Source organism: Homo sapiens, chromosome 21 (genome assembly GCF_000001405.40).
Source record: "Homo sapiens chromosome 21, GRCh38.p14 Primary Assembly".
NCBI lineage: Eukaryota > Metazoa > Chordata > Mammalia > Primates > Hominidae > Homo > Homo sapiens.
This window is the reverse complement of record NC_000021.9, coordinates 41,336,890-41,361,726: the sequence shown is the minus strand read 5'-3', so window position 1 is coordinate 41,361,726 and position 24,837 is coordinate 41,336,890. Positions and strand designations below refer to the sequence as shown.

Genomic DNA, 24,837 nt, shown 5'->3' with positions numbered 1-24,837 from the left:
ATGGGGGCAGCTCAGAGTGGCTCAGTCACTGGAAGGTTCTGCCCTGACAGTGCCATCCAGTACCACCTGTGTGGCTCTGAAATGTGACTACTGCGACCAAGGAACTGGACTTCGAACTCCATGTAATTTGAATGAATAGCCACGTGTGGTTCGTGTATCGGGCCTCACAGATGCACTCCTGTTACAGCCGAGGACATGCTCTCAGGTACATGATCTGGACGCTCTGAGCTGTCCTGCTTAGCTTCATGCCTGAGCCGCACCTGACAAATGTCACCTCTCCCCTCATTAGGTGCGGAAAACCCAAAGAAGGAGGGTCAACAGCTTTCTCCAAGCACCCGTGCCTGAGGTCCCCGCCGCAAAACCAAGACGGTTTTCTTCCCATTGGAGATAAGGAGGCCCCAGGACAAACCCCAGGCTCCGGAACTCAGCCCTGAGCCAGCTGCATGTCATCTTTCTGGTCCTCAGTTACTTTTCACCTGCAAAAGTGAAGGTGCACAACCGCATGCTCCCTAAGGCTTCCTGCTCTGTGACCAAAGTCAAGGAGGGCCAGGCATTCCCATCACCAGAGCCAAGAGGTCTGGGAACCTCCAGGAGGAGCCCTCCAGACACCGGGGAGGGGACCAAGCCTCTCAAGGACTGGCAGTGATGGCTGGGAGGGAGGAAGCAGGCTCTCAGCTCTCCTATCCACCCGTGATCCTCTCCCAGACATCAACACTATACGTTTAAAAAAACTCCTGAGCTCCTCTTGGCTAAGTCATTGTAGTGACTTCCCTTGAGTGCAGGCTTAACTTTACGGAAGATATTTAGAAACTTAACATGTTTTTCAAAACCTTGGCATTAGAAATATTAACACCAGGAGATCATCGTCAGGATCACCTATCCCTGAACCACTTCTCTTCCCAAGAGCCCGGGCGGACAGAGGCTGAGGAGTGAGGGGAGGAATGTGAATCTCAGACTTGGCAGCGTGATGTGACATTCGGTTTCACTAGGAATGTCTTTCACAACAGGGCCTGGGCCGGCCTACTGCTTCAAGGAAGGCACAAAGAAAGGCCTCAGAGAAGCCGGACAGAGGGACACGAGCAGCTCGGGCCAGCTCAGGGGACCCTCCACCCTCTGTCAAGGCAGCATCCCCCTCCTGCACGCCCCTCACCAGCAGCCCTGGGAAGGACCAGAGGTGCCTGCGCATGCAAACTTCAAGGACAGGGTTCTTGCGTTCTGAGCACTAAAGCCCTGAGGGTGAATGAATGTCCCACGCAGCATCCAAGCACAGGGGCCGGGGCCAGAAAAGATGCTGCTGCTCAGGCCTCGGTCACAGCCGCTGGGCGGAGCTCTTCCCTCAGCTCCACATCAGGGAGCGTTACAGTGTGCAGCTTGGTAAAGAGGCGAAGTCCAGAAGCCCCAGTGCCCGCCTCCTGCCCTGGCACGCTGACTCTATGGAAAGCGCCAGCGCCTCTGTGTGCTGATGAAGTTCCTGGCCACCTGGAAGCACCTGCAGCACCTGGAGCCATCCAGAGCCAGCATGCATCCACTCTCCCATGGCCTCTCCAATCACAGAAGGAAAGATCAAGCAAATGCTTTCCTGAATTAACAGGACAAAGGCAATGGTGAAGTGCTGTAGACAAGCAGGGTTCTTACCTGGGGTGTGTCCCTCCCAGCAGAGCACAGGAGCAGCGGGTGCACCTTGGAGTGGAACTCCACCCTGTCATTGTCCGTGTGACCTGGCTCTTTGTTTCTTTTTTGTTTGCTTGAGATGGAGTCTCGCTCTGTTGCCCAGGCTGGAGTACAGTGGTGAGATTTCTGCTTACTGCAACCTCGGCCTCCCAGGTTCAAGCAATCCTCCCACCTTAGCCTCCCAAGTAGCTGGGATTATAGGCATGTGCCACCATGCCCAGCTAATTTGTTTTGTATTTTTAGTAGGGATGGGGTTTTACCATGTTGGCCAGGATGGTCATGAACTCCTGACCTCAAGTGATCTGCCCACCTTGGCTTCCCAAAGTGCTGGGAATTTGGTTGTGAGCCACTGCACCCAGACTGGCTGTTTGGTCCTTAGCCTCTCTGTGCCTCACCAGCCCCACTAGGTTAAATCATCATGACCCTGTCACGGGGCGGGTGTGAGGGGTAACCAGCAGGGTCCACAATGCGTAGGAAATGTGACTCTGATGTGGCAAGCCCCCTTGCGTGGTGCCCACCGGTGGGGGACTGGGCTGGGGGCTGGCAGTGCCCAGTGCCTTCAGAGATGGAATGACAATCTCCACACTAAAGACCACATTGTAGGGAAACATCAACAGGAAGTGGAAATGAATGGCAATTCACAGTCCTGTGCCCCGGGTGCGGACGCAGCAGTGAGCTGCAGGGGCAGCAGAGGGCCAAGGGGCCATCACTGGGTAGGAGGGGCCGTCATCACAAGAACTTCACAGCCCAAAGCCGGATCCCCGGGCGATGCCTGGCCAGAAGCTCCCCTGCGGCCTATTCCATGACAGTGAACTAAGATCAACGAAGCTACAAAAACATAGCAATTTCAGCCAGAATAAAAATGTACTGCCCTCCTTTTTTGATACACAGAAACGTCTATGCCTACCTAAGAACTTAGCACTTACAAGGGCCTATATTAGTTTTGTGGGGTTGCCATCACAAAGAACCACACCTGAGTAGCTTAAACAGCAGAGGTCTCTGGTCTCACAGCTCTGGAGGCCAGAAGTACCACATCGAGGTGTCAGGAGGGCTGTGCTCCCTCGGAAGTCTCTAGGGCAGACCCTGTTCCAGGCCTCTGTCCAGCTTCCCGTGGTTTGCTGGTGATTTGGGGTGTTGCTTGGCACACAGATGCATCATCCCAGTCTCTGGGTGGGTGTTTCCAAATTTCTCCTTTTTATAGGGACACCAGTCCTGATGGGTGGGGGCCCACACTACTCTAGGACCTCTTGATCCTTACTGACCGCATCTGCAGTTAACCTGTTTTCAAATAAGGTTGCATTCTGGGGGTTAGGACTTCAGCAGATGAATTTTGGGGGATACAGTTCAGCCCCTACTGGGATCTGAGCCATGACCCCATCCAGTGGTTTGCAGCCTTCCTTGCAGACAACCAGGCTCCCTGAGGGGCCTCTGCCCAGGGCAGGGCTTGCAGGCTGGGTGATGCTCCTCCCTGGGCCAGAGCACTGCTTGGCTCTCAGCAGTCATCAGGTCATTGTATCTCCACTCACAGTGGCCACCCCCTTCTTTGGACAAGGGCTGTCACGCAGCCCACAGCCATGCAGTCCATGGTTTGCTGGGGCCCCTGAGGAAGGGGTTGACATACTCTGGCCTCGCTGACCTGGTGCCTCCCATGTTTGGAGCCATGGGATGTGAGCAGCTGGGGCTGACACATCAGGCCAGGAGCTTGGTGGGGCTTGGAGGCTGGATTTCTGTTCCCTCTCTGGCTTTCATGCCTGACAGGGGACACCCCTTCAGCCTGGCTTTTCACACCTAGGGCTCAGCCGTGGCTGGCCTGTGGCCACATTAACACAAACAAGAAATCAATGCTGTCGTAAGCCACTGAGAATTGGGGCAGTGTGTTACTGTGAGAATGCTGGAATTCGGGGTGCCATGTAGCACCATGTTTTAAAAGGAGTCCTGCCAACAAAAATGCTTGGCAACCATTCATCTATCCCAACTCTTTTATCTTACAGATGAGATATAGAGGCTCAGAGAAGGAATATTAACCCAGCACCAAAGTCTCCTAGCTCTTCTGGGGCCAGGCCCGGGAAAGAGGTGAGAATGGACAGTTGGCAGTGACTGCTGGCCCCAGTGACTCTTATTTTCTTAGCCCCGAATCACATGTGTCATCTGACCCACCGTTCCAGCACGTGTGGAACATCCTGGACTCTTGGATCTACTGCTGCATCTTCTAGAGAGTGAGGTGTTCAGTTGCCCTCCTGAGAGCAGCGCCTCCCTCCCCACCCCGCTCAGCAGCCTGGCATGAAGGCAGGGAATGTGTACTGTACCCCCGGTGCCAGACGTGGGAGGCACCCAGAGTTGTGGAATGAATGAATACATTCACAGGCCCACAGGAGGAGTTCAAGAGCTCAAGTTGAGTTGAACAAGGACATAACATAAGCCCCCTGAACTGCTGCTAATTCTCCCAGCAGAAGGAGATGACTGTCGGAAACTAGGAGGTGCTTGGTGATAATGGAATAAAGGTTTTCTCTCTGCAGGGCTGTCTGGACCACACAGGGGTCACACTTCGATCTGATCATAACATAGCTCCACCTGGACAAGCTGTTTCTCCCAACCCTCTTTCCAGCTTGAATCACATCATTCCCTTTAAGAATTTCCATTCATTTTAGTTTCCTGCTAATTGACATCTTCACTACATAAAATACTGGTATAAAAATACTGCGTACCAAGATTTGATACAACTAGCAAATGTTCATTGGTTTACAACAAACCCAAAATACTCATCAAATATGGGCTGTTGGATTTAGAAAAATAAGATTCTTGAGCGATTCCAGCTGCATTTGTTTATACAGAACACATTTACTCAGGACCCTGCAGTGTCAGCTTCGTTCTTTGGGTATGCAGCCTTCTATCTGGATCTCTGCAGGCCAGCCAGAATATCTGTTGTTCTTAGCATCAGAGTGGTTGATCTGTGTAGAGAAAAGAAGAGTTTTATTTATTCATTAATCTAATAAACAAGTATTTAATCAGTATCAGTTGTGAGCCGACACAACCACTTCCTAGATTTGGATTTGCTCCAACCAAAGCTGGGTGTTTGATTTCCAATACATTTCTTAATAATAATTTTTAAATTAATATATAATAGATGTACATATTTTTGGAGTATATGTGATAATGTGATATGTCCATATCATGTGTAAAGATCAAATCAGGGTCACTGGGATATCCATCACCTTAAATTACTTTTTCTTTGTGAGAGGAACATTCAAATTATTCTCCTTTATTTTGAAATGGACAATAGATGATTTTTAACTATAGTTGCTCTAATGATCTATTGAACACTATGTCTTCTTTCTTCTACCCATATATTTATACCGTGTTTCTTAATAATATTTGAAGCAGGTGTTAATACAGCTCTAGAACTTTATGCAATGATGGACATGTTCTATAATCTACCTGTCCAGTGGAGTAGCCCCTAGCCACACTTGCTTATGGAGTACAGATGGTCCCCAACTCATGGTGGTTTAACTTTACAATGGTGCAAAGGAGGTAATGCATTCAGTAGAAACTATACTCCAAGGACCCACACAACCATTCTGTTTCACTTTCAGTACAGTGTTCAATAAATTCCATGAGACACTCCATACTTTATTGTAAAATAGGCTTTGTGTTAGGTGATTTTGCCCAACTGCAGTCAACTGTAAGTGTTCTGAGCATGTTTAAGGTATGCTATGCTAAACTATCATCTTTGGTAGGTTAGGTATGCTACATGTAAATTTTCAATTTACAATATTTTCAAATACGATGCTTTTATTGGGATGTAAGCTGAAGAGCATCTGTACTTGAAATATGAATAGGGCAACCGATAAACCAAAATTTGAATTCTATTTAATTTTAATAAATTTAAGTATAAAATGTAAATTTAGCTAGTAGCTACCATATTGGACAGTGTAGCTCTAATGTTTAGTTTTCAACTCTGGGAGTAAAACTATGTGTGTGTGTGTGTGTGTGTGTGTGTGTGTGTGTGTGTGTGTGTATGTATTTTTTTCCCAGAGTCCTTGTATAGCTCCTTCCTCAGCAAATATGTATTCATCCCGAAGTGGGTTTAGTCCTCTATATCTTCAACTCTTTCACAGATAATAGAGCACCTTAACTTGATGCTTAAAGTAAGGTGCATTTTGTTAATAACCTTGGAATTCCAGTAATATATCCCTTTTTATATAACAGCTTTACTGGGATATAATTCACATAGTAAAATCCACCAATGTAAAGTGTACAATTCAATGGTTTTAGCATGGTCACAGACCTGTGCAACCATCACCATGGTCAATTTTAAAACATTTTCATCACCCAAACAAGAAGCCATGTGCCCATTAGCAGCCACGAATCTCCTTTCCCCCAACCCTAGGCAGACACGAATCTCCTTTCTGACTCTGTGGATTTTCTCATTCTGGAAATTTCATATAAATGGAATCACATAATATGTGACCTTTTGTGTTTGTTTGTTTGTTTGTTTGTTTCACTTAGCCTGTTTTCAAGGTTCATCCATATTGTAGCATGTATCAGAATTTTATTTCTTTACGTATTTGAATATATTCCATTGTATGGCTAAGCCATATTTTATATATACATTTCTTACCCATTAATCAAACATTTGGGTTGATTCCATTTTTTGGCTATTATAAATAATGTTGCTATGCACATTTGTGCACAAGTTTTTGTGTGGACCTATGTTTTCATTCTCTTGGGTATATACCTACAAGAGGAACTGTTGGGTCATAGGGCCACTGTATGTTTAACTTTTTGAGGAACTGCCAGAATGTTTCCCAAAGTAGCTGTACCATTTTACATTTCCTCCACTAGTGCATGAGGGTTCTAATTTCTCCATATTCTCACCAGCACTTCTTCTTATGTCTTTTTAAAAATCATAGCCAACCTAGTAAGTGTTAGGGGATATCTCATTATGGTTTTGATTTGTATTTTTCTGAAAATGAATGATGTTGAGCTTCTTTTCATGTGCTTATTGACCATTTGTATATCTTCTTTGAAGCAAAATCTATTCACAACTTTGTCCATTTTTAAATTGGGTTATTTGTCTTTTTATTATTGAGTTGTAAGAGTTCTTTATGTATTCTAGATTCAGGTCCTTTATTTGCAAATATTTTCTCCCATTCTGTGGTTTATCTTTCACTTTCTATAAGGTATCATTTGAAGCACAAAAGTTTTTTTTTAACTTTTAAGTTCGGGGTACACGTGCAGGATGTGCAGGTTTGTTCCATAGGTAAACATGCATCATAGGGGTTTGTTGTACAGATTATTTCATCACCCAGGTATTAAGCCTAGTATCCATTAGTTATTTTTCCTGATTCTCTTTCTCCTCCCACCTTCCAGCCTCCAATAGGCCCCTCTATTGTGTGTTGTTCCCCTCTATGTGACCATGTATTCTCATCATTTAGCTCCTACTTATCAGTAGGAATGTGTGACACTTGATTTTCTGTTCCTGCATTAGTTTGCTAAGGATAATGGCCTCCAGCTCCATACATGTCCCTGCAAAGAACATTATCTCATTCTTTTTTATGGCTGCATATTATTTCATGATGAATATGTGTCACACTTTCTTTATTCAGTCTATCATTGATGGGCATTTGGGTTGACTCCATGTCTTTGCTATTGTGAACAGTTTTGTAATGAACATATGTGAGTACGTGTCTTTATAATATAACAATTTCTATTCCTTTGCTTTTTGAATATTAAATTTTACTTATAACAAATATAATTTGTTAGGAATATTCCCAGTAATGGGATTGCTGGTCAAATAGTATTTCTGTCTTTAGGTCTCTGAGGAATTGCCACATGTCTTCAACAAAGGTTGAACTAATTTACACTTCCACCAGCAGTGTAAAAGCATTCCTTTTTCTCTGCAACCTTGCCAGCATCTGTTATTTTTTGACTTTTTAATAATAGCCATTCTGACTGGTGTGAGATGGCATCTCATCATGGTTTTGATGTGCATTTCTCTAAGGATCAGTGATGTTGAGCTTTTTTTCATATGCTTGTTGGCCACATGGATGTCTTCTTTTGATAAATGTCTGTTCATGTCCTTTGTCTTTTTAATGGGATATTTTTTCTTGTAAATTTGTTTAAGTTCCTTTAGATGCTGGATATTAGACTTTTGTTAGATGCGTACTTTGCAAAAATTTTCTCCCATTCTAAAGGTTGTCTGTTTACTCGATAGTTTCTTTTGCTGGAAGGACAAAAGTTTTAATTTGCTGAAGGGCAACTTACTTTTCTTTTGTTGTTAGTGGTGTCATATCTAAGAAACCATTGCTTAAACCAAAGTCACAAAAATTTATGCCTCTGTTTTCCTCTAAGAGTTTAATAGTGTTAGCCATTACATTTACGTATTTGATTTATTGTTACTTAATTTTTGTATATGGTATGAGGTAGGGTCCAAGTCTATTCTTTTCCATGTGAATATCCAGCTTTCCCAATACCATTTGTTGAAGAGACTATTCATTCCCCATTAAATAATCTTGGCACTGTTGCCTAAAGTCAATTGATCAAAAATGTGAGAACATGCACATCTGCTGGAGTCTCAATTCTATTTCATTTCTCTGTATGCCCATCTTTATGCCAGAGTGACAGTATCTCAATCACAGCAGCTTTGTGTTATGTTTTGAAATTGGAACATGTGAGCCCTGCAACTTTGTTCTTTTTCAAGACTGTTTTTGTTATTTGAGTCTCTTGAATTTCCATATGAATTTTAGGATGAACTTGTCAATTTCTACAAAATATATCAACTTGGATTCTAGTAGGAATTGTGTTAAATCTGTAGATCAATTAAGAAAGTATTGACATCTTAACAATATTAAAATTTCTGACCCATGAACATGGAATATCTTTTTTTAAGTCCTCAATTTCTTTCAACATGTTTTATTGTTTTCAGTGTATTAGTCTTGCATCTCCTACGTTAACTTTATTCCTAGGAATTTTATTCTTTTTGATACTGTTATAAATACAATTGCTTTCTGAATTTCATCTTCAGGTTGTTCATTGCAAGTAAAGAGAAGTATAATTGAGTTTTTCCATTGATTTTTGTATCCTGCAACTTCGCTAAACTTGGTATAAGTTCAAATAGTTTTTTAGTGGACCTCTTAGGATTTCCATTAAGTTGGTGCAATTACTTTTGCACCAGCCTAGTATACATAAAATCATGTCACCTGCAAACAGAAATAGTTTTACTTCTTCCTTTATTTATTTATTTATTTATTTATTTATTTTTGAGATGGAGTTTCGCTAATGTTGCCCAGCCTGGAGTGCAGTGGCATTATCTTGGCTCACTGCAACCTCTGCCTTCTGGTTTCAAGCGATTCTCCTGCCTCAGCCTCCTGAGTAGCTGGGATTACAGGCGCCCGCCACCATGCCTGGCTAATTTGTTGTATTTTTAGTAGAGACGGGATTTCACCATGTTGGCCAGGCTGGTCTTGAACTTCTGACCTCGTGATCCGCCTGCCTTGACCTCCCAAAGTGCTGCAATTACAGGGGTGAGCCACTGCGCCTGGCCTAAGTACTTCTTCCTTTCTAATGTGATAATGCACCTTCCCTTCCCTCCCCTCCCCTCCCTTCCCTTTTTCCTTCCTTCCATTCCCTTCCCTTTCTTTCTCAGGGAAGGTACAAAATGCCATGGGCATTACGGGCAGCAGTGGCAGGGCCAGAGAGGCTTCTCAGAAGAAACAGCCTTGAGGTGGATCTTTAAGGCTTTGTGAAGGCACCCCCTGCATGGAGGGAGGCATGTGCAGAGGTCCACATGTGGAAAGTTACAGCAGGAATATAAAGACGAGACCTGAACAGAGCCAGCATAGTGGCAAAGCGCTGCAGGGTATGGTAAGAGCAGCCACTCATGAGGCTTTGCTGGAGTGTTGAGCACACAAAGCATGGGAGGGGCTGAGTGGGGCTGAAGACAAGGGTCTGTGCTCCAGTTAGGATCACCAGAGACAAGACTCAGACCATGCTGGAGGCGATGAGAATGATGGCTCCTCCTGCTGCATCATGCTTGTCACACACACAGGGAGCAAGGCAGGCTCCGCTACCCACAGTTCAGGGTGCAGAAGAGGCGCAGGCCTATGAAGTGCCAAACTCAGGTCATGCAGTCGGGGTGGCCAAGTCCAGATCTGAACCAGGTTACCCTCACTTCCAAGACTCCTGTCCTTATTTATTTCTCAGTTTCCTTCCTCCTATAAAACCAAGAGGTTGGATGGAATAATCTTTGAAGTTCCTTATACTTTAAAATTCAATTCAGCAGGTAGTGGGGTCATTAAAGGCTCTGCATGAGAGTGGCCCAGGCGCTGTGCCTAGAAAGCTGACTCCTGGAATAGCAGGTGGAGTGGGAGTGAACATGGGGCTGGGGAGACCCCTGAGGACTCAGGAGGCCCTCCCAACATGGGTACACCACCCTTAGGGAAATACACCACCTGCAAGTCTGAATAGCCAAAGTAACACAGACACAAATGATTCCTCCAGTGGCACTTCTCTCAAGGTCTCGGTAAGACCTGTCTTGAAGCCCTGGCTACCAGTCCAGACCTCACCAACATTTGAGCAAACATCCTTTAGCGCCCCCAAACCACAGAACCTCTAGTAACTCTCCAGCACTGACTGCTTGCTGTGTTTAGGTCTCGTCTTTATACTCCTGTAGTAACTTGGATAACTTTTAGCTGACACAGGTGGGCAAAACAGGCATTTTCCTGAAATTCACTTGGAGCCACCATTTCCAAACACATTCCAATTCTCTAAACTCAGCCCTGGCTTTGACGTCCAGTCTTTTTCTTGATTTCTCCTGCTCCAGAAACTCTTTCATATGAAGGAAATCATAAGGAAGGACTACAACTTCCTCTGTGCAATTCCAATGAGGTTTTTGTTTTCTACGACTTAAACATTAATGAAGAACCTGTTTGATGAGATGTTAACATTTGAGTTAAAAAGGATTTCAGCCTCACATGCCAGCCTTTCTGGTACAGTCTGGACACTCTCATAAATCAGCTGGAGAACCGCACCATTGGTAGTAATAATAACCACAGACGCTCGTGTGCATGGGGGGGTCCCTGTGTGGCACAACGCCCGGGCTGCCAGGAGTACCTGCTCACCGCCGCCCTTGCTAGTTAAATAAGCTGGGGTGGTTAGATAAGGTGGGACAAGGCCCCTGGAGATGCTGAAGAGACTGTGGAACTGGGAAGGAAGGAAAGAGGAGGAGGAAAACAGGGTAAGAGCCGGGGAAGGAGCAGAGAAGTCGGAGGACGCTGTTAAGGGGAAGTGTGGGTGTGTATGTGAAACCAGGGCCTCCATTTTCTCCTGGAGATCCACGCAAGGAGGCTCCCTTCCCCGTGCATCAGAATCTCCAGGCCAGGCCCCACCCTCTGAGAAGCTGGTTCAGTTGTCCTGCGCACAGCCTGGACATCACTGGTTTTTGGGGAGACCCAAGTTGGGAGAGACATTGATTGCAGAAGCTGTGCGGAGGGATCTGGGTTTGGGGTGGGCTGGTGGGGCAGGACCCGGGGAGCTCCAGGAAGGCCCAGCTGTTCTGGGTTACAGGACTCCACTCTGAGATCCATGTGTTTCTCTTCTTTCATGTTCAGGAGCCCTTCTGTGGCAGGAACTATCTTTATTCACCTCTCACAGGTGATGATTCTGAGCACAGAGGGTTAGATAACTTTCCAAGACCACACAGCCAGCTGGATAAAGCCTGGACATTCTCAAGACGACAGCCTGTGGCATGGATCACACAAGGGATCGGAGAGATGGGGACCCAGTATTCGCTCCCCAGGGTCAGCCTGAGGAAATCCCGGGGAGAATGGGGTGCACACTGCAGCACAGCTGCTGGCCCTGGAGGAGGCAGGAAAGCTGGAGCCCAGAGAGGTGACGTGACTTGTTTAAGATCACACGACGTCCCCTCGCAAAACTAACACAGGACCGTAAGCCCCGGCTTCACTATTGTGTGGCTGGTTCAGCTTGCCCTCAGTGTGGGTCCAGGCAGTGGTGGGGCCCAAGGAGCCCCACCAATCAGAGCTCAGGGAGTGCCTCTCGGTTAGGGCAGACCCATGAGGGCTCACTGTGCATGCAAGTGCCCAGGCACAGTCATAAGCAAGGAGGGGTCGAGGCCAGGGCCCCGGGAAACATTCCCTACACGTTCTGCAGGGCTGGCTTCCTGGCTCTAGAGGAACATGAAGTCACAAGGGGAAAGCATGCTTGTGTAGATGCATGCTAAAATAACCATGGTTTCCGGGCCTCCGGAACATGAGACTAGAGGGGGTCACAGAAGGTCTAGGGTTTCCTGGGAACCAGTTCCAAGTTGTCTGGTTGTGTGGCCTGCGCTGAAGTCGCACCTTATCCAGCCCCCTTCTCCTCTACCTCAGGTGGTCATGGCAACAAGAAGATGCCGAGCTGCTTCTGTTGCTTGTCTTTCTTCCCAGACCCGTATCCACAGCACAAGGAGGCAGACTGGGACCAAATGTCAGAGCCTGAAATCAGAAGCGGCCTATTGCACACCCTGGAGATGTAGAAATCTCTGCTTTCTGGGAATTTCTGGCTAAGTGGAAAGGAGGCCCTTATCCTCAGAAGGTATAGTGGGGAAGTCTCGCGCCTTGGTCATGCAGCACAATTTCCTCCTCTTCTGCACCGGTTACTGCAGCACCGGTTACTGCAGCATCTTTTCCTGGAGAGCAGAACCCTCTGAAATTCTCCAGGATGTTGTGATTGTCATCGGATGCTCAGCTTGTTACTCCCACACATTTTGCAAACCCTCAGTTGGAATTTTCACAGGAGACTTAGTGGTTAATAAGTGAGAACGCCATTCTTTTGCTCTTTACTTCTCTTTGATAAATAAAGGCCATAAAGGGAGGGACTTAGAATCAATCACGTGCCCAGTTAGTACAGCAGCAGCAGCAGCAATGGAAGCCAGATTTGTGCAGTGTTGATTTGGTGTCCAGCCTGTTTTGAGTGTTTTGCATTCACCATGTCTGTTCATGCTCTCAGCCATCCTAAGAGGTGAGCTCTCTTACTTTCCCCATAGCAGGAGCTTGGGGAGGTAAACCTCCTGCCCAAGGAAGGAGAGGCCCAGGACAGACCATGTTGGCTGCAGCATGGTGAAAAACCAATACCAACAGCCCATTCAGAATTTTCTACTTTGAAAGAGATTGGAGAAGTTTGAAACTTCTGTCCGGATCTAATGCTGATCTCATGGAAACAGCTGACACAACTCTTATGTTTGGAGACGGAGTTATAACCCACCAGGAACGTTTTCAAGGCACAGCATTTACTATACTCACCATTGGTGGGAAGGGACATTTTAAAACCACTCACCTTTTCTCTCTGAATTTCGGAAGGGAGTTCCAAGCCTTTTGCTGCAATAAATACCCAGCTAGACCTGAATTTCATGTTCCTGATTTCTTTACTTCCAAGTGCTTCTATGGCATTCTTGGCATCGTTATTCAGTCTGCAGGACAAAGGGAAAAGCATGTGAGCATCTCAGGGAGACGTGGAGAGGAGAGGAACTCTGCTCTGGATGTGTTACGCTGTGCATCCTTGGATGGAGGTTTCTAAACACATTCATCTCCTGCTGCAGTGCATGACACACAGTGGCAGCTAAGAGGCACACATGCTTCTTGAGAATGTCACATTTCTAGTTAACCATTGGACATCCAGAGCCATTTTAGGCCCCAGTTTGGGGCACAGAATTCTACTTCTCAATTCTGGAAAGCCCTTGTGCTTTGGGGTTCAATCTCAGGCTCACACTCAGCCAATACAATTTTCGGCTATTGCTCTGCCCCTTGTTTAGTGACCACAAAATAAGGTGGAGAGAAGTTGCTGAAAGATGAAAGCAAATGCCAAAACTGCCCCCTTTTCATAATCAGAAAAGTCCACATCAAAAAGGAAAAAGAAATGTAAAACAATACTGCCACTGCAAACATTAAGATTTAGAGGAAGTGACAGGAGGGTAGACAGGAAAGTAAACAGTTAAGTTTAGATTGTTCTAAGTGAGTTAAGTCAGAATTTTTCAAAGTATGTGCCAAGGAACTTCAGTTTGGTAAGATGCTCCATGAAAAAAGGAATCTGATAAATTTGGGAAATGCTGTGGTCAGTAGCCCTGTCTGGGAAATTCACCACACAAATAAGCACTTTGAAGGTTCTTAGACATTCTGCAGCAAAGACACAGGTTTGGTTTACTTAGTAGGACACACTCTGAGAGGCACTGAGCTACATCCACTTCTAGTACAGTATTGAATGTGTATGTGTGTATTTCTTTATTCTTTTCCTCTTTTTTTTTTTTTTTTTTTTGAGACAGTCTCGCTCTGTCACCGGGCTGGAGTGCAGTGGTGCAATCTTGGCTCACTGCAACTTCCGCCTCCTGGGTTCAAGCGATTCTCCTGCCTCAGCCTCCTGAGTAGCTGGGACTACAGGTGCATGCCACCATGCCTGGCTAATTTTTTAATTTTTAGTAGAGACAAGGTTTCACCATGTTGGCCAGGATGGTCTCGAACCCTTGACCTCGTGATCCGCCTGCCTCGGTCTCCCAAGTGCTAGGATTACAGGTGTGAGCCACTGCGCCCAGCCTCTTTTCCTCTTTCTATAGGGAAATTATCTCAATTTCCTTTCACATTGCTGTAACTATTAATGCCACCCTGGGTTTAGGCTTTCTGTCCGGAGGTTAGTTTGTCTGTCCTAATTATGGTCAACAGTGGCTTTGTCTTGATTCCTTGAAATACTCCTTTGATTTAGGTTCTAGTACTTCTGTGGTTAGTGATTTAATTTTTTTTTAAAGAAATGCCATCTATTTTGTCATGATCTTTCATTCTTTTTCCTTAGAGAAGTACTTTGCTCCTGGACTTTCTGCTTGTCCCCAGAGGATGTCACTGAGAGACCCTGGCAGCCTCTGCCCCAGCTGGCTTCTCTTGCCCACCGCTGTGACAGACCTACACCCACTCACCTTGTGCTTCCGTCGTCATAGGTCACCATGAAGAGCAGGGATTTTGGAGCAGCACTCTGAATAAACTTTGTCATCGGTCCAGAGTTATCTATTGGGGGATGCAAGTCAGTTTTAGGGTCTTTGCTGTTCACTGAGGCTCTGCCTTGGGTGCTGGGCTTCCTCCTGCACCTGCATTCTGTGTCCATTCTGAATCCTTGGGGGTCCCAGCGCTCGCTGCTCAACCCTGCAGATGGTGTGCTAGCTCTGGACGTGTGAACATTCACTGGGGTACCATAGGGACTATCTGAGGTGAGTGGCACAGCGTAGAAGGAAAAGAACCTAACACTTGCAATAGGTGTTCAGGGCAGTAGTGAAAGGGGGTCAAGATAAGGAGCTTTTTTGACCAACAAACAAGAGAAGTGGAGCCCCTGGTAGAAAAAAAAAACCCTCCTTAGAAATGAGATCACCAAACTCTTAACAAGCAGCAGCCTGTGTGGCACAGGTGGAGTGTTCTCTGTAGTCACTGATAAAGGGCCACACCCACACCCACACCACGACCACTGAGCAGAGTGGCCTTGCAAACACACCGACGTGTGCAGGAGAGAGACTCCCACAGAACTCAAATACGAGACATGTGGACCGTGGGCAAGTCTGTGCCAAGAGACTTATCTATGCCTTATAAAATAAAGGTAAACCTCAAACCCTGTTACTCACCGCTGCGGCTCATTATTTACTGTTCTGCTTAGGTTAACTGCAGAGTACAACTGTGTCCTTCTTATTGGGTGGGTGCAGGCGTTTTCTATTCTTCGTCTTCACTATCTTTATAAAAACTTGTTTTTGAAAGTCTCATTGATATATAAAAATAAGAGGGGATAGTATATCCTGGCCAACAACTGCAGTCAAGAGTCAGTGCCTAGAAAGGAGAGACCATCGAGAAAGACTGGGCACCCGTGGGTTCCGGGAATGCTTGCCCTGAGCCCAGCAGAGCACTGTGAGTCACCAGGAGTAATCGTGACAGCTTTCAAAGGATGATGATATTTAGGGCTGGATGCTGGTGGCTTTATTTTACATATAATGTATTTGGCTTTTTTTTTTTTTTAAAAAAAAGGCTTTTTCTCTTTCTTATTATATCATGAGAGCTAAAAAGAGAAAGACTGAGGAAAACTAACAGAAGAAAAGACATTTCTAGATGATGCCTTCAAATGTTCTATGAATTCAATTAGAGTTTAAGAGGATCTACATAAGACCACTCTAGATTACTCAGGAGAGCTGCTGGCGTTTTTCTAGTAGACAAAATAAAAATGGTTGACATTTTTCTTTGTGCTTTTTAATCTTAATTTTCTGTTTAAAATTCATTTGAATTTTAACAGAAAAAATTTTCTTACCACCTTCATACATATCAAAACATCGTGTTGCTGTCACATTCCCAGTTACATCTGAAAATAAAAGAAATGGTATTTTAAAAGAAAGTTCACAGAACTAGGGCGCACTTGTGGCACCAGGGCCTGGGGAAGGAAATATTTCTTCCCTGTCTATCTCCAGCAAACACCACTGATGTAATGACCCAGCCTGCAGAGACAGGGCGGGCCCCTTGAGGAGAGTCCCCAAAACCAGGTCAAAGGAAAGTGCTGGAAGCTGTGCTAGAACTTTCTTCCAGTTTGCTTTGGGTTACACCTGATGGAACACTAATACCTCCCCCACCCAACTCATCTCACAGAAACACCAGAGACCCCTCACTCAGGCCCACCCGCCTCATCCCACAGAAACACCAGAGCCCCCTCAGCCAGGCCCACCCGCCTCATCCCACAGAAACACCAGAGCCCCCTCAGCCAGGCCCACCCGCCTCATCCCACAGAAACACCAGAGCCCCCTCAGCCAGGCCCACCCGCCTCTTCCCACAGAAACACCAGAGCCCCCTCAGCCAGGCCCACCCGCCTCATCCCACAGAAACACCAGAGCCCCCTCAGCCTGCCCACTTCCTACTTTACAGCCTCCTTCAGGGCTGTCAGATTGGGAGCATTTTATCTTCACTTCCACAGCCCTCACGTCTCGGGGCTATGCGGCCCACTCACTCACAGGGACGTTGTGGGAAACCCTTTCCTTCTCCTCTGGGCCCCTCAAAGGCAACTGTGAGAGAGCTTTATTCCAGACCTAAGAGAAAGGCCAAGTTTTGTTTCCCACGAGGTTGCAGTGGCTTTTATCACACAGAAGGATGAGATGGTCTATGGTGTCAGCCCCTGAGCAGACACTGGGACTCTGGGAGCAAATGAGAGGCTCAGTCCAGGACCACAGGCTGCACCCCCTTGGCGGCCCTTCTGGTGTTAACCCTAACTTTGGCCTATCCCTCTGTTTTTTTCTTTTTTTAAAATAAAGTCTATATTTGGTTTTCAGTTGTTTATTTGTTGTTAGAACCACAAATAATCTGTGAAGTGAGACTTGTAAAAATAATTGAGTATATAATCTTAAAATGCATTAAAATACAAACCTAGACTAAATCACGCGCAAAAGTCTCGAAAACCCAAGGTACCTTTGAAAATCTGACCAGAGAGCTTTTAGAGAAGTTTAAAGAAAATGTTTAGTAACTTACAGTTGACAATGGCAATGTTTATTCCTCTGGCAACATTTCCCAGCTGTTCTCCCATAAGTCTGAAATGGAGCTAAGCATTAGTCAAGTACCAAGAGGCGTGCGACTCTCCCCGCTCCGCGAAGTCTTCGCCTGACCAAATGTCAGTCTCATCTGCTGTCCCCCACCTTTTCCTTGAAAGTCTGCATTCGCCTTGGTGCAGCTCCCGAGACCGCCACCCCCATGTTCATCCACACACATCTATTCTCAGTGTCTACAGACTCAGTCCCTCAGGGGACCTGGACTCTCAGGGGACCTGGACACTGCATTCAATCTTATAATTTAGACAAATGGCTAGGGGGAAGAAAAACTAACATTTATTTAGCTCAGGCTCTTCACAGATGCACTTTATTGTTAATTTATTATCTATTTATTTATTGAGACAGGGTCTCACTCTGTCACCCAGGCTGGAGTGCAGTTGTGCAATCGTGGCTCACTGCAACCTCTGCCTCTCGGGCTCAAGCAATCCTTCCATCTCAGCCTCCCAAGTAGCTGGAAGTACAAGCGTGCACCACTACAACAGGCTAATTTTAAAAATTTTTTTGTAGAGACGGAGTTTTGCCATACTGCTCAGGGCGGTCTTGAACTCTTGGGCTCCAGTGATCTGCCCGCCTCAGCCTCCCAAAGTGCTGGGATTATAGACATGAGCCACCATGCCTGAGTATGTCACTTAATTTTTAACCTTTAAATTGTAGAATATGAAATGCCAAATTCAAGAGGATTGTGCCCTAAAATCAGGAAAACTAAATGACTTACCTGGAGATGGTAATTATTGCTGAAGATCACAGAAATTGTGTGTGTGCATGTTGTATATGTGCATGTTCCCATTGTCAAGTGTCAGAATCAATGACATGTTAGCTTTATGAAAATAATTTGGAAGGCTTCCTCCTTTTTCCATGCTTTGGAATAGCGAACACGGAACTTTAATATTTTGTTTTGACACCTTTACCTAAACTCCCCTATGAGTTTTCTAGGCTTAGTGCTTTTTGACAGGTTTAGAGACTATTCCATAATAACTTGAAGCAGAAAGAGATTTCTGATAATAGAAAATCGGCTAATCTAAACCGACTTTCTCATGGAGAAAAGCAGAAAACATGAGGCAAGTTTTGTTGTTGCTGTTGTTGTTAAAGATCTGGTTGTATACGTTAGAGACCAAATAAGGTAGTTAAGAATTTCCCAGGCCAAGATCTGGGAGAAGACTAAATTTCAGGTTGGTAAGTCCAGCGTTTAAAAGCTACTTTTAACCAAGGAGAATTTGCTGATTCCAGAAAAGGTGTGTAAGGAAGTGAACAGCCCTTCTGACAACCATGTGAGCCAAGGGAACAGAAGTTGGAAGCCAGGGTCAGGGCCATGTTAAATCTCCCACATCTTATTTGGCCTGGGGTCACAAAGGGTTGAATCCTGAAAGTGAGAGCAAACCAGAAAAAAATCAGAGCTTGTATAAACTTCAGCCTAGTTTTTAGTCAACTAGGTGGCCCAGAAAATCTTTAACACTTATTCAGGTCATCCTGTTCTGCTAAAGGTTCCAGGTCCCTGGGAGAAGCAAAGATAATTCCTCAGAAGAAGATATCATCCCATGCCTCAATTTTTTTAAAAAACAGGTGCAGGATCAAATGAAACCTGACACGTGAGGAAAAAGGCCAACGCACACAAGAGACAATGGAACCAGCAGAAAACAGTAGATAATAGTGACAGACTCACAGGCACTCTAAATGCTAGAGTTATCCAACTCAGACTTTAACTATAATGTATTCAAAAACATGGTTGATAAAATTAAAAATTTCAGAACTGAAAAGTACCAAAACTGACATGCTGATTTTAAAAAGAACCAGAATGAATTTCTAAAACTAAGATAATATAGTAACCTAAAATCAGTAGTGATTGAATGGGTTTGACAGCAGATTAGGTACAGTGGGTGAGAGAATTAGTGAATGGAAAACAACTCTGTCCATGATAAAGAGCAGAGAGGTAAACAAATGGAAAATACAAAATAGACTATAGGCTCTAGAGACTATAGTAGTGATAAGGTCTAATATATGTTTCATTAAGAATCTCAGAAGAAGAGGAGAAAGTGAATGGGCAGAAGATACAAGAGCAGAGAATTTGTTAAATTTGATGAAAGACTTCAATACCTACCAATTTAAGAAACTCAAAAAAACTCCAAAGAAGATAAAACAACAAAAGACACATTGGAGTACAAATGTTGAAAACCAGACAAGGAATCTCTAAGGTGACGGGGACGAGGGCAATGGGCAGTTACTTTCACAGCAGCGACAATAAGACTGTCAGCTGACTTCTCAAAAGGAAAATATAGAACCTAGAAGACAGTGGAATAGTACCTTGAATGTGCTGAAAGAAAGTAATGGCTAACACAGCCTACAAAAGTATTTTTCAGGAACAAAGATGAAATAAAGATATTTCAGAGAAACGTAAACTGGAAAGATTCACTATCAGCAGACCACACTATTTTTCAGGTATGAAGGTGAAGTAAAGATATTTCAGAGAAACATAAACTGGAAGAATTCACCATCAGCAGAACATGCAGGAGGGTTTGCTCTGTGTCTTTTGCTGTAAGAAAACTTACCTATAAGTGTAACCTGTTATTGGGTCTTAGGAATTTTTCTAGAGTATCACTGAATTTGAGGCTAGTTGTGAGAATCCTTCTTCAAAAAAACACTCAACAAAAATGTATGTGCATGTGCACCAAGAGACATAAACAGCACTGTTCATAATAACCCCAAACTGGGAATGACTCAAATGTCATTCAACAATAGAATGGATAACTGTAACATATTCATGCAATGCAGTATCATACAGCAATGAACATCTAAGAACAACAGCTACATCCAACGTGAAGGATAAATCTCAGACACAAAAGAGTATTTGGTTTATGATTCCACTTATACAAAGTCCAAAACAGACAACATTAAACAAGTGTTGAATTAAATAACAGTATTTTGCAATGCATGCTTAGGCAGTAAAACTACCAAGAAAAGTGAGGAAATAAATCACCACCAAAAAAAATCCAGGTTACCATTGGGCAGGAAGGAAAGAGGAAGCTGCATTTCAGAAGGGGTACACAGAGGGCTTATGGGGTGCTAGTGATAGTCTATTTCTTAGCCAGGATGGTGGTTACACAACTGCTCGCCTTATCATAATTTATTACAAAATGATATATTCATAAGGTTATTTATTGCAGCATTACTGGTAATACCAAAAGATATCAAACATCAGAAATGCCTATCAGTGCAGAACTAGTTGAATAAACTATGACACATCCGTGCTATGGAATACCACATATCAATAAAAGAAATGAGGAAAAGCCTGATGTACTGATATGGAGTAATCTCTATTAACTGTTAAGTGAAGAAAGCCAAGGTCATAACTGTGTATAGAGTTTACCACCTTTTATGTAAGAAAGGATATAAATGTGTGTGTACATATGAGTGTATACGTGTATAATGTGTATATACACATATGCACACATATTCATACACACATATACATATATTCACATGTATACATGCATATATATACCTGTATATAAAAATATACATAGGTATGTATTAATTTTATATATATATATAGCTTATTTTTTGCCATTAAGAAATACTGGAAGAATAAATCAAAAACTAATTAAAAAATTAATGGAGATGGGAACAAGAGGTGGGGAGAAAAGGTGGAGAATACAGGGAAGATTTCTCTGAGCCTCCTTTTTTGGGACATGTAATATTCAAACATAATGTTGATTTCTGAACCAAATAAATATATATTCAAAAATTAAATGAAACCCAAAGAAAAACAAACCTAGCATTGAAAGCAAATGGAAATTAATTCAATGTAAAATAACTACAGGGAAAGTAATTATTTCATATGACTTTGGTCATTGCTATGAGTTGAATGTTTGTTACCTCTCAAACTCATGTGGAAATAGCATTAAGAGGTGGGACATTTAGGAGGTGATTAGGCCATGAGGACTCTGCCCTCCTGAATGGATTAATGCTGTTATCACAGGAGTGAATGGGTTCCTTATAAAAGGACAACTTTGGCTGGGTGTGGTGGCTCATGCCTGTAATCCCAGCACTTTGGGAGCCTGAGGCAGGCAGATCATGAGGTCAAGAGATCGAGACCATCCTGGCCAACATGGTGAAACCCTGTCTCTACTAAAAATACAAAAATTAGCTGGGCATGGTGGTGTGCGCCTGTAGCCTCAGCTACTCAGGAGGCTGAGGCAGGAGAAGCGCTTGAACCTGGAAGGCGGAGGTTGCAGTGAGCCGAGATGGCGCCACTGCACTCCAGCCTGGTGACAGAGTGAGACTCTGTCTCAAAAAAAAAAAAAAAAAAAAGACAACTTCAGTCCCCTTTTGCCTCTCTCTCTCTTTCTGCTGGAACTGGGACACCCTTCTACTTCTCCTACCTTGAACATGAGAACTTCAGGCTCCCCCGCCTTTAGACTCCAAGACTGATACCAGCAGACCTCCCATCTCCTATTGATTCTCAAACTGAGAATTACACCATCTGCCTCTCTGGTTCTGAGGCTTTAGTACTTGGGCTCAGCCATGTTACCAGCATCTCAAGGTCTCCAGCTTGCAGATGGCCTGTCGTGGGACCTCTTGGCCTCCATAATTGCATGAGCCAATTTCTCTAATAAATAAATCCACTCTTTCCTTTCTCTTCTTACCTCCCACTGCCATTGGCTCTGTCTCTCTGGAGAGCCTTGATTAATATAGACATCTGACTCTTTATAACCTTAATAAAATATTTTTAAATCTATGAGGAACTGCAAACAACATTTTTTAACTTCACTCAGTAGTTGTATTGTTAGTAGTCTTGGTATTGTAATTTGAAGGCGAAGGTTAATAGTACTAGGAACCAAGATTCTCAGTGTAAGGGAAGAGTTAAAATGTAAAATCGAAGAACTTAAGGGGGTAAGACTCCTGCACTGTTGAATTTGAATTGTAAATGCTAACGTAAATTCATGATTTAGAAACAAATGCATTGCTTGGTTCTGTCCACTAAAAGTGCTTAGGAGGAACCCTATCAAGGGCCCATGAGTGTCTAGATCTTGGTTTCTAAATACCACATCCCATTAAGGAACTCTCTCTTTAGAGAAATGGCTGATTTCAGTCTGAACAAAGAAAGACTCGGCTGAGTTTAGCTATGCTGTAAATCAAGGAAGCACTAAAACAAAATAAATAAATAATAAAAAAATAAAAATGGGGCCCACTCAAGAAGAAACAGATAACTTAAGTAGTGCTGTACTTATTACATCAATTAAATTTGCAGTTAAAAACCTCAAAACAAAACCCTCCAGGCCAGGACGACTTTGTTGGGAAATCACACCAAATATTTAAAGAAGAAATAATATCAATCTTATATGGATTTTCCCAAAATATTGAAGAAGTGTAAAGTATGGACTGCAAACAGAAACAACACCTGCTTTAATCCAGGAAGGTGAGGATCATAAAATAAAACGAAGAAACTATCGGCTGAGTTTTCATGTTCCCATGACTTTGAAGGACTTTGCCACATATTCAAAGTAAAGTAGTCTAACTTCGCTTTTTAAAGTAGTCTAACTTTGTTCAGAGCCCATCTGGCCCCGAACACCCCTGAGGCTCTCATGCCCCCACGTGCCCCACACACCTTTCACTGCATCAATACTGATCCCTACTCAGATCCCAGAGTACTTGTCTATCATCACCCGTAGAACCCACAGGGCTGTGCTCACTTCAGATTTAAATCCTAAGTACAACTGCAGTCAAACGAAACCGTAAAACCATTAAACACAAGACACATACAGCCATTAGAGACAATCAGCTCCTTCCCTGGTGAATACAGCGGAGCTTTCTCATTTCCACTTGGATGCTCTCAGCCTTTTGCCTGAGACCAACGACATATGGTTCTCTCCTGTGGGCAGAACTGCTGCTTGGTCAGCCTCAGGGAAGGGGCAAGAATCAGTAGGATCGCTTTATTTTCCTTCTAAACGCTGGTACTTACAGGTTATCCTCAAAGCAGATTTTGGCGTACTTGCTTCTGCCACCTCCGCTGAGTAACCTGTAGGCATAGGTGTCAGATGGGCAGGGAGTCCAGTGGTCACATTTTTGCCTTTTGGGGACTGGAGCTGTAATGAATAAGAAAGTATATAGCCATTAACATCCCACAGTAATTTACAGATGCACCTGCTGCTTGGCGGAGAACACCAGCACTTCATACCAGAAACTCCAAGCAGCGGTCGGAAAACCTGAGGGGGAAGGGTTTCCAGACTTCACTGAGAATTCCCCTAAAGACACAAAGCTCACTGAATCTGATTTCATTTTAAAGTGACAAATAAGCAAAGAAGGAGAGGGGTACTGAGTAGGCGTAACAATTTCATAAGGGCTGGGAATCACTGCCCATGGCTGCCCATTGTGACATTCTTGGTGGGCAATGTAATTTGCAATACAATAAAAGAAAGATTACAGGGGTCTAAGAGAGCTGGTGAGCAAAGACAGCCATCTGTGGAGCATCTATAAAGCTTCTGCATCTACACAGCCTTAGACACCCTAAACACACACACATCACACAACATGCCACATACACTATAAACATACACACCATACATATCATACAACACACCACATGCTCAACACACTGACACCCACACCACACATTCATGCACACACACCACATGATGTATCACACACACACACACCATATACAGCACACATTCACACACAACATACAACATACTGCACATCTCACACACACACCATGTACTCACCACACACGCATGCACACCATACCATATAGACACACACACCATACATGTACACACACGCACCACACCACTCCCACACACATCCCCTCCCCCAACACATACCATATCACACACAGTCACACATACACTCTATACCACATACACCTGACCACCACAGCTGACCCACTCTCCTTTCACTTGAGTGTGAGGAACTGAGCTTTTTGCCCAGGACGCTATGATGTCAGATCCTGGAGATATCTCTCCTAGCATCAGCATCCTTATTTCACAGGGGTCAGCAATTTGGGAGGATTGAGGGACCTGAGGCTGGAATGCGAGGAGCCCACCTGGCCCTGAACACCCCTGAGGCTCCCATGCCCCCACAGCCCCCACACATCTTTCACTGCATCACTACTGATCCCACTCAGATCCCCGAGTAGTTGTCTATCATCACCCATAGAACCCACAGTGCTGTGCTCACTTCAGATTTAAATCCTAAGTCTGCAGAAAGGAATTCAGAAAGCACTCTCTCACTCTCTCACCTTAAGTTTGAGTAGAGACTTGGCTCTATTTTATGAATTACTGTACTCTTAGCACCTTAAACTAAGAAGTATAGTCAGCAAAATGGTAGATTATACATAAAATATCACAAGTAAAGAATCAAAGGAAAGAAGGACCTACAAAACAACCAGGAAACAATGAACAAAATGGAAGTAGTAAAGCCTTATCTATCAATAATTACCACAAATGTAAATGAATTAAATTCTGTAATCAAAAGACACAGATGAGCTCGACAGATTTAAAAAATGTATAGGTTGAAAGCGAAAGGATGGAAAAAACACTCCATGCAAATGGAAACCAAAAGAGAGCAGGGAT

The 24,837-nt window shown here is 44.2% G+C and overlaps 1 protein-coding gene across 5 annotated transcripts in view, besides 3 other annotated features; it reads right to left on the bottom strand.

Annotated features, from left to right (window-relative positions):
* Positions 16 to 275: an enhancer, noted in NCBI's record as "active region_18471". NCBI's record gives its function as "activates an Ori minimal core promoter by ATAC-STARR-seq in GM12878 lymphoblastoid cells {active_cell/tissue: GM12878}" and the evidence as "EXISTENCE:reporter gene assay evidence [ECO:0000049][PMID:35858748]".
* Positions 1,558 to 2,361: an enhancer, noted in NCBI's record as "OCT4-NANOG-H3K4me1 hESC enhancer chr21:42731293-42732096 (GRCh37/hg19 assembly coordinates)". NCBI's record gives its function as "activates a minimal SCP1, AML or CMV promoter by ChIP-STARR-seq in naive H9 embryonic stem cells {active_cell/tissue: H9 hESC(naive)}" and the evidence as "EXISTENCE:reporter gene assay evidence [ECO:0000049][PMID:30033119]".
* Positions 3,183 to 3,482: an enhancer, noted in NCBI's record as "active region_18470". NCBI's record gives its function as "activates an Ori minimal core promoter by ATAC-STARR-seq in GM12878 lymphoblastoid cells {active_cell/tissue: GM12878}" and the evidence as "EXISTENCE:reporter gene assay evidence [ECO:0000049][PMID:35858748]".
* FAM3B (FAM3 metabolism regulating signaling molecule B) overlaps positions 4,000 to 24,837 on the bottom strand; it is a 53,486-nt gene continuing 32,648 nt past the window's right edge. For 4 of the 5 annotated variants that reach the window (XM_011529649.3, NM_058186.4, NM_206964.2 and 1 more), the window contains 6 exons: positions 23,226 to 23,349; positions 17,193 to 17,251; positions 15,991 to 16,041; positions 14,627 to 14,714; positions 13,003 to 13,135; positions 4,000 to 4,619 (listed from right to left, as the gene is read on the bottom strand). In XM_011529649.3, coding sequence (XP_011527951.1) covers positions 4,530 to 4,619; positions 13,003 to 13,135; positions 14,627 to 14,714; positions 15,991 to 16,041; positions 17,193 to 17,251; positions 23,226 to 23,349 — 545 coding nt within the window. In that variant the 3' untranslated portion in view covers positions 4,000 to 4,529. Of the gene's footprint in view, positions 4,620 to 13,002; positions 13,136 to 14,626; positions 14,715 to 15,319; positions 15,519 to 15,990; positions 16,042 to 17,192; positions 17,252 to 23,225; positions 23,350 to 24,837 lie in introns of those variants that run through there. The other variant, XR_007067791.1, reaches the window with a different exon arrangement.